Source organism: Homo sapiens, chromosome 17, assembly GCF_000001405.40.
Source record: "Homo sapiens chromosome 17, GRCh38.p14 Primary Assembly".
Lineage (NCBI taxonomy): Eukaryota > Metazoa > Chordata > Mammalia > Primates > Hominidae > Homo > Homo sapiens.
Genome location: NC_000017.11, coordinates 37,875,417 through 37,885,328, shown reverse-complemented (window position 1 = coordinate 37,885,328; position 9,912 = coordinate 37,875,417). Strand labels below are relative to the sequence as shown.

General features: G+C 41.3%; 1 pseudogene across 1 annotated transcript in view; it reads left to right on the top strand.

Moving 5' to 3' along the window:
- The first annotated feature begins 585 nt into the window (after positions 1 to 585).
- Positions 586 to 9,912, top strand: part of YWHAEP7 (tyrosine 3-monooxygenase/tryptophan 5-monooxygenase activation protein epsilon pseudogene 7) — a 41,795-nt pseudogene continuing 32,468 nt past the window's right edge. Inside the window, exons 1-2 of the transcript NR_024178.2 lie at positions 586 to 638; positions 1,314 to 1,368. The product of NR_024178.2 is annotated as a tyrosine 3-monooxygenase/tryptophan 5-monooxygenase activation protein epsilon pseudogene 7 (transcript). The remainder of the gene's footprint in view (positions 639 to 1,313; positions 1,369 to 9,912) is intronic.

Genomic DNA, 9,912 nt, shown 5'->3' with positions numbered 1-9,912 from the left:
CTCACTGCAGCCTTGACCTTCTGGGCTCAATTGATCAGCCCGCCTCAGCCTGCCGAGTAGCTGGGACTACAGGTGCACCACCACCACACCCAACTATTTTTTTTTTTTTTTTTTTTTTTGTAGAGGTGGAATTTTGCCATGTTGCCCGGGCTGCCCTGGAACCCCTGGGCTCAAGCGATCTGCCTACCTCAGCCTCCCAAAGTGCTGGGATTACAGGTGTGATCCACTGTGCCCGGCCTATATTACGATACTGTATGCTGGAAAACTTCTTTTGGAAACAAAGTGGGATATAAATAATACTCAAGTGCGACTTTCAGGAACATATTCTTCATAGTAAGACAATGCCATTGAAACTTACTGTGTTTCATAAGAAGTAGTAGTACTGGCTCTACATTTATTTCTGCTTTTAAATTCTGAGGATGGGAGGGAGAGGAATCCACAATAAATTTTGAGTACCACTGTGTTTGAATAATAATAGCTGATTAGCCTAATTCCTTTCAGAAGGGAAATCAGCATGCATGAGATCATTTCTTGCCACTTAAATTCAAATTCTAAATTCTTGAGTTTGGCTCTTTAAGAGAAACCAGACCCACTTGACTGCGGTCATCCTAGCTGACCATAAAACAGGAAGTAAACAGGTAACAGGCAGATGTTAAAAACCTTGCCCCATTCCTGTGTTGAGAGGACTTTTTTGTTTTTTTCTCCCGCTCCCCAGGTAAATAATCCCAGCATCTTTGTGTTTTTATTAATGTAAGATTTAAAAACTTGTGGCAGGATTTGTTTTGTTTTGTTTCTTTTAGATGGAGTTTCACTCTTGTTGTCCAGACTGGAGTGCAACGGCGCGATCTTGGCTCACCGCAACCTCTGCCTCCCGGGTTCAATCAATTCTCCTGCCTCAGCCTCCCCAGTAGCTGGGATTACAGGCATGCGCCGCCACGCCTGGCTAATTTTTTATTTTTAGTAGAGACGGGGTTTCTCCATGTTAGTCAGGCTGGTCTCGAACTCCCGACCTCAGGTAATCTGCCCGCCTCGGCCTCCCAAAGTCCTGGGATTACAGGCATGAGCCACCGTGCCTGGCCCGTGGCAGGAGTTTAAAAGTTAAAATGTACTTTAAAAAAATTACTTGTTCGCTGAAGAAGATCACATGTCGTCAAGAACAACTGTTTGTGAAGAATGTTCCTAAATATTCTTGGGGGGCAACTAGTACAAATGCTGCTCTCACATTTTCAGTAGTTTTGAAGTTGCAGGGAAGATATTACATTTTTGATAATCTGAAATATTTCTTCATTACGTGTTTCTTTTCTTGTTTATAGAGATGTGAACTTTGTCCCCATAAGGATGGAGCTTTAAAAAGAACAGATAATGGGGGTAAGTGCAGAGATTTCTTGAAAAAATTTTTATTGAAAACTGGGGCGGTGGAGTATTTTCAAATATCTGGTAGTTTATTTTATTTCATCAAATTAAACAGTGTTTTCTACTCATTTTTAACAGTAGTGGCTATAATTTATGAATCATTATTATGTATTGACCCACAATTTTTCTACTTTGTGGACAAACTTAAGCATTGGCTACTTTATGCAGAATGATTTATTAAATACATACTTCTAATTAAAATTCTTATTTTTTTGGCTGGGCGAGGTAGCTCACACCTGTAATCCCAGCACTTTGGGAGGCCGAGGGTGGTGGATCACCTGAGGTCAGGAGTTCGAGAGCAGCCTGGCCAACATAGTGAAACCTGGTTTCTACTAAAAATAGAAAAATTAGCTGGGCGTGGTGATGCATGCCTGTAGTCCCAGCTACTTGGGAGGCCGAGGCAGGAGAAAAACTTGAACTTGGGGGGCAGAGGTTCCAGTGAGCTGAGATTGCACCATTGACCATTAGCCTCCATGACAGAAGGAGACTGTCTCAAAAAAAAGAAAGTGTATTTTGTTAAATGGATATAGTTTCTTGTGTTAGGAATTTTTTTTGAAAAATGAGCCACATTTTGTTGTTGTTGTTGTTAGACCTAAAATCTGTTGTTTTAGATTCTTTTTTTCTGTTTTGTATATCTCTAGACAGATGATGTTTCTAGTGAATGTTAATTTCATTTAACTCTGAGGATCTTTGTGGCTGGAATATAAAGAAATGTTGACTTTTAGGCTGGGTGCCTGACACCTGTAATCCCAGCTCTTTGAGAGGCCAAGGTAGGAGGCTCACTGGAGCGTAGGAGCCTGAGACCAGCCTGGGCAACATAGGGAGACCTTGGTCTCTGCAAAAGTAAATATAAAAAATAAAAATAAAAAGACTTAGTTCCACATGGTGGCACGTGCCTGTAGTTCCAGCTACTTGGGAAGCTGAGCAGGAGGATGGCTTGAGCGTGGGAGGTGGAGGCTGCATTGAGCCATGGTCACACCACTGTACTTCAGTCCCTGAGATGGGTGAGAGTGAGACCCTGTCTCAAAAAAAAAAAAAAGAAAAGAAAAAAAGAAATGCTGACTTCTGTATCACATTTTGGTATGCTTTCCTATGGACCCTTGTGCATTACTCATTTTCTTCTCTACTTTTAGTTATCTTTGTTAGAGAACTCGTATTTTTGTACATGTAGCTCAGTACTGTTCTGAAATGTGTAGACGTGAGTTTATTAAGCCATGGCATACATGATGCGGCAGCTAAAAAAAGTAGATACTATACTCTTCTCCATTTTGGGTAGCCACCTCTAAAGTAGTTTTGGCATAGACTAGAGTAATGGTGTGAATAAATGGGAAAAATACAATCATTTTGGCTAGCTATATATATTATACAGTTTAATCTTCAGACTATGTTATACAGTCAGATTGTACAAAATTTAAAAATATATTGAAAACCCTTCCTGTTACTCCTCTTCCCCATCTGCCCAGTTTATCAATAGCTTTCCTGCTACCTTATAATTATTTACTTTCTTGCATATCTTTCTAGGTTTCTTTTGCATATTCAGATGTGAATGGACAAATACTTCTTTACTCCCTCCATCTTTATACAAATGGGTTAATATTATATACTCTTCTGCGTCTTAATTTATTTCACTGAACAATTTATCTTTTTTCTTTTTTTTGAGACTTTTCTTTTCTTTTTTCTTCAATTTTCTTTTTTTTTGAAGCTTCGCTCATTCACCCAGGCTGGAGTGCAGTGGTGCAGTCTCCGCTCACTGTAACCTCCACCTTCCCGGCTCAAGCCATTCTCCTGCTGCAGCCTCCCAAGTTGCTGGGATTACAGGTATGCGCCACCACGCCCAGCTAATTTTTATATTTTTAGTAGAGATGGGGTTTCACAATATTGGTCAGGCTGGTGTTGAACTCTTGACCCCAAATGATCCTACTGCCTCGGCCTTCCAATGTGCTGAGATTACAGGCGTGAGCCACCGCACCCGGCATGAACAATTTATCCTGTTATCAGTATAGAGCCTTTTTTTTCCTTTTTAACCATGTTATCTAATCAATCAGTTGTTGATGCACTTTCTGATCTACTTTGATGACTAACTCTTTTATATATGTCATTTTGCTGGTATACAAGTATATCTATAGGATTATTAATTTCCGTAGGTGGAAACATTGGGTCAAAGGAGTTTTGCAATTAATTTTGATGGATAGTCCCAAGTTATTCTCCCTGTAGTTTTACCAATATATGTTCCCAGTTTTACCAATATATGAATAAAAAAGCTGTTCCTTATACCTTTGCTTACCTAACAGGTGAAAGTTTGTATATCCAAGCAGTCGTTTTGCATTTCTCTTAATATTAGTGAAGTTGACATCTTTTAACAGTTTGAAGAGCAATTTGTTTTTTTCTCTTCTGTGGTCTGCTTTTTGACTTGGTTGTTGATCTTTTTTTTTTTTTTTTTTTTTTTGAGATGGTCTCTGTCTGTCATGTAGGCTGGAGTACAGTGGCTTGATCTTGGCTCACTGCAGCTTCTGCCTCCCCCGTTCAAAGGACTCTCCTGCCTCACTCACCTGAATAGCTGGGATTATAGGCACACGCCACCAGGCCCAGCTGACTTTTTAATTTTTAGTAGAGATGGGATCCACTCACCTCAGCCTCCCAAAGTGGTGGGACTACAGGCGTGAGCCACCATGCCCAGCCACAGTTGTTGATCTTTTTAGTTTGATTTATTGGAGCATCCATAAGGAGCCCCTTATATGTTATTATGCTGTTTTGATATGAGTTGGACTAATTTTTGCCCATCTGGTTAGTCTTTATTTATATTGTGCTTTTTAAAAAATTTGTTTACCATGCATGGGTTTTTGATTTTAATTTTGTACAATTTATTAGTCTTTCATGATGTCAGTATTTTGAGTTATTAGTTAGAAAGGCCTTCACTATTCCAAAGTTTTGTTTTTTTTTTTAAGTGACAGGTTTTCATTCTGTTGTTCAGGCTGGAGTGCAAGTAGCAGGATCCTAGCTCACTGCAGCTTTGTAGTCCCGGGCTCAAGTGATCTTCCTGCCTCAGCTTTGAGAGTGTTGGGATTACAGGAATGAGCCACTGCACCTGGTGTAAGCCTCCCATCTTATTAAATGTTTTGTATTTGTCTTTCCTATTCTGGTTTGTTCCACTCGTTCCATTCTACCCTCTCTATTAGCTTTTTAAAAAGTTAATGTTACTATGTGCTTCTTTCCTCTTTCTGAATCCTCTGAAACTCTTAGGATACTGTAAATTCACTTGTCCATCTCCTGACGTATGTTTTATTTTTGTCATGTACTTTCATTCTCTGTTTCCTTAAGAATTATAATGGTTTTGGGCCGGGCGCGGTGGCTCACGCCTGTAATCCCAGCACTTTGGGAGGCTGAGGCGGGCAGATCACAAGGTCAGGAGATCGAGACCATCCTGGCTAACACGGTGAAACCCCGTCTCTACTAAAAAATACAAAAAATTAGCCAGGTGTGGTGGCAGGCGCCTGTAGTCCCAGCTATTTGGGAGGCTGAGGCAGGAGAATGGCGTGAATCCGGGAGGCGGAGCTTGCAGTGAGCCGAGATCCAGCTACTGCACCAGCCTGGGCGACAGAGCGAGACTCCGTCTCAAAAAAAAAAAAAAAAGAATTATAGTGGTTTTGTCAGGTGTTTGTTGAGGATTATGCTAGTCACTTAAAATGAAACAGTTTGTGTAAATTTCGTGTTATTTTTCTTTGAATTCTATATAGAACTTCGTGAGCAACTGAAACTCTTCTGGGAAAATTTTTGATAAATTCGTTTTTTGGCAAAATTATAGGGACATTCCTTTTTCCCTCCTTTCTCTTTTTCTTTTCTTCTCTTTTCTGTCCTCCCTCCCTGTCTCCCTCCCTCTCTCTCTCTCTTTCTTCCTTTTTTTTTTTTTTTTAACAGTGTATCACTTTGTTGCCCAGGCTAGAGTGCAGTGATGTAGTCATAGCTCACTGCAGCTTCAAACTCCTGAGTTCAAATGATCCTCCTCCCCCAGCCTCCTGAATAGATGGGACCACAGGCACACCATGCCTGGCTAATATTTTTTTCTTTTTGTATTTTTTGTAGAGACAAGCGGTTTCGCTTTGTTGCCGAGGCTGGTCTCGAACATCTGGGCTCAAACTATGCCCCTGCCTCATCCTCCCAAAATGTTGGGATTACAGGCATGAGCCCTTGGGCCCGGCCTATTTGTATAAACTTGTCAATTTTGGTGCGCTCTATTTTTTCAAGAAATTTGACTACTTTGTATAAGTTGCTGAAATTGTTGGACTAACATTGCCAATAGTATTTATTTATTTATTTATTGAGATGGAGTCTTGCTCTGTCACCCAAGCTGGAGTGCAGTGGCATGAGCTCAGCTCACTGCGGACTCCACCTCCCAGGTTCAAGTGATTCTCTGCTTCAGCCTCCCGAGTAGCTGGGATTACAGGCGGGCACCACCACACCCAGCTAATATTTTTTATTTTTAGTAGAGAGAGAATCTTGCCATGTTGGCCAGTCTGGCCTTGAACTCCTGACCTCAGGTGATCCACCCGCCTTGGCCTCCCAGAGTGCTGGGATTACAGGCACAAGCCACCGCACCCGGCTGTCAATAGTATTTTAGTATTATTTTGTTAATTTTGCTAGCATTGGTGGTTATTACCCCATTGTTATTCCTGATGTTGGTAATTTTTTTGTTTTTTTTTTTTGATACTGAGCCTTGCTCTTGTTACCCAGGCTGGGTAACTGTGCAGTGGGTACACCACTGGGTACAGTGCAGTGGTGGGATCTCGGCTCACTGCAACCTCCGCCTCCCTGGTTCAAGCAATTCTCCTGCCTCAGCCTCCTGAGTAACTGGGATTACAGGCGCCCGCCATCACGCCTAGCTAATTTTCTGTATTTTTTTTTGTGAGACGGAGTCCCGCTCTTTAGCCCAGGCCGGATTGCAGTGGCACAATCTCGGCTCACTGCAAGCTCCGCCTCCCAGGTTCACGCCATTCTCCTGCCTCAGCCTCCCGAGTAGCTGGGACTACAGGCGCCCGCCACCGCGCCCGGCTAAGTTTTTGTATTTTTAGTTGAGACCGGGTTTCACCGTGTTAGCCAAGATGGTCTCGATCTCCTGACCTCGTGATCCACCCGCCTCGGCCTCCCAAAGTGCTGGGATTACAGGCGTGAGCCACCGCGCCCAGCCAATTTTCTGTATTTTTAGTAGAGATGGGGTTTCACCATGTTGGCCCGGCTGGTCGTGAACTCTTGACCTCAGGTGATCCACCCACCTCGGCCTCCCAAAGTGCTGGGATTACAGGCGTGAGCCACCACACCCGGCCAGATGTTGGTGATTTGTATTCTGGTTTTTCTTTGTTTTTATTTTTATTTTTTTGACCAGTCCAAATAGAATCATTCAGTTGTGTTGACCTTTTTAAAGAAGTTTTGGGCTTCGTTAATTTTTTATGCCATCTCCCTGTTTTCTATTGTGTTAAACTTCTGCTCTTTATTATTTCCTTCCTACTACTTACTATGTGTTATATTTTCCTCTTCTTTTCTAACTTATAAAGGTGGAACCTTAGGTCTTTTGTTTTAGATATTCTTTTCTAATGAAAATATATATGCTGCAAGTTCCTCTCTATTGCTTTTATTGAATCCCACAAGTTGTGTTTTTTTGTTTTTGTTTTTGCCATTGTTGTTGTTGTTTTGAGACAGGGTCTCAATTTGTCACCCAGGCTGGAGGGCAGGGGTGTGATCTCGGCTCACTGAAGCCTCGACCTCCTGGGTCCAAGCGATCCTCCTACCTCAGCCCCTCAAGCAGCTGGGACTACGGGTGCACGCCACTTTATCTGGCTAATGTTTTTGTATTTGTTGTAGAGACAGGGTTTCACCATGTTGCCCAGGCTGGTCTCAAACTCCTGAGGTCAAGCAATTAACAGGCGTGAGCCACTGTCCCCAGCCTGCGTCTCAAATTGTGATAAATTACATGTTTGTTGCCATTCCGTTCAAGACATTTTCCAGTTTCCCTTGTGACTTTCTCTTGACTGCCTTAGTCTACCTTGGACAGAAGTAGAAGTCTTCTGCTGTTTGCTCTTAACATTGATTTTTCCCACTTATTTCTTATTTCTCTTCTGTTCTTTTTGTGATTATTTTTTAGTGCTGTATTTTAATCAGTTTAACAATGCAACTAGATAGTATTGCATTTAAACTTAATTAATTATATTAAATTGCCTTAAATTGCCTTTTTGGCCATATCTCTTCCTATTTATATAAGTATTTATATTTATCTATATAGTGGTTGCTGTAGGGATTATAATTTTCTTATCAGTAAATTCAGTCTACTGAGTGTACCACTTTTTTTTTTCTTTTTGAGACGGTGTCTTGCTGTGTCGCCCAGGCTGGACTGCAGTGGCACTATCTTGGCTCACTGCAACCTCCACCTCCTGGGTTCAAGCAGTCCTCCTGCCTCAGCCTCCTGAGTGGCTGGGACTACAGGCACACACCACTACACTCAGCTAATTTTTGTATTTTTAGTAGAGACATGGTTTCGCTATATTGGCCAGGCTGGTCTGAAACTCATGACCTCAAGTGATCTGCCCGCCTTGGGTATCCAAAGTATTGGGATTACAGGCGTGAGCCACCGCACCTGGCCTGTGTGTACCACTTAACACGAAATGTAGAATGAAACCATATAGACTTCTTTTACCTGTTCCTTTTCCAGTCTTTGCTGTAGTTTTATAGGAAAGCTACATACATCCACAGACCGTACCAGTGTTTTAATATTTAGTGTAAGTGGTCATTTGTATTGTAAATGAGTGTGAAGGCATTATTGTTTTATATGTGCATTATATATTAAATGTACCTACATGTTTATCGTTCTTTATATTTTTCTTCAGTTCTGAGCTTCCTTCTGGAATCATTTTCCTATTGCCCAAGGAAAATTGTTTGGTGTTCCCTTTCATGGAAATCTTTTACATAATGTTTTCTGGCTTTATTTAGTTATCTAGTTTTTCGTTTGATAACTTGCCTTTTGTTTTTAAGATTTTCATTTCTTTCCCTTAGTTTTCTGTAGTTTTATTAATGTTCCTTCGTGTATTTATTTACTCTGATTTATAGTGGTTCTTCAGTCAGTGGCTTTGGGTCTTCTGTTCTGGAAAATTTTTAGGCATTATCAATTCAGATACTGCTTTCATGCCATTTTCTCTCTCATATTTCTCCGAGACTCTGATTACATGTGTGTTAGACCTGCCTGCCTATTACATTTTTCATGTGTCTTATTCCATTTTTTGTATTTCTTACTTTTGTGTTTTGTGCTAACATTCTGGATTTCTTCTTCTGACCTGTTGTGTTCCTACTAATTCTCTTTTCATCCATGTCTAAACTGCTGTTAATCCCACCCACTGATTTTTTTTTTCTTGAGATAGGGTCTCTATCACCCAGGCTGGATTGCAGTGGCACAATAATCATTCACAACAACCTCCAACTCCTGGGCTCAAGCAATCCTCCCACCTCAACCTCCTGAATAGCTGGGACTATAGGTGCATGCCGCTGCACCTGGCTCATTACTTTTTTTTTTGTAGAGATGGGGTCTCACTTTGTTACCTAGGGTGGTCTTGAACTCCTGGTCTCAAGCGATCTGCCTCAGCCTTCCAAAGTACTGGGCTTACAGGCATGAGCCACTGTGCCTGACTGATTTCTAAATTTCCGCTTTACTTCTGGAATTTTAATTTATTATTATAGTTTTCGGTTCTTTGCATCAATTTAGAATTTTGTCTTGTGTGTACTTGATCATAGTAAGCATACTTATTTTAAAATCTTTATCTGATAACTCCAAAATACTGATCTGTTTTGATGTTCGTGTTCTCCTTATTCTCATTCATATTGTCTTGTCTGTCATGTGTTTGGTACTTATTATTGTGCTGGAAATTATATGTAATTAAGAAATTTTAGGCTGGGTGTGGTGGCTCATGTCTGTATTCCCGCCACTTTGGGAGGCTGAGACTGGTGGATCACTTGAGGTCAGGAGTTCGAGACCAGCCTGGTCAACACAGTGAAACCTCATATCTACTAAAAATACAAAAATTAGCCAGGTGTGGTGGTGGGCACCTGTAATCCCAGCTACTTGGGAGGCTGAGGCAGGAGAATTGCTTGAACTGGAAGGAGGAAGTTGCAGTGAGCCGAGATCACGCCAGTGCAGTTCAGCCTGGGCCATAGACCAAGGCTTTGTCTCAAAAAAAAAAAAAAAAAAAAAGGTAGAAATTATTTGTAGCCAAAATGATACTATTTTCTTTTAGAGAGGATGTATGTTTACATCTGCTTCGTGCCTTGGGAGTTGTAATTTCGGATTACCTTCATCAAATTTCAGAGTTTGAGATGGTCAGAGCCCTGGTGTCGTCTCTTTGAGGGTCTATGTACTTTTAGTGTATTCTCATCCCCAGTTTGCCGTTCAGTGTTGCATCTGAAAGGAGGAGAGGGGTTTACTTGTACTCTTTTTCTCTTGGTTGTTTGTGAATGTACATCCCT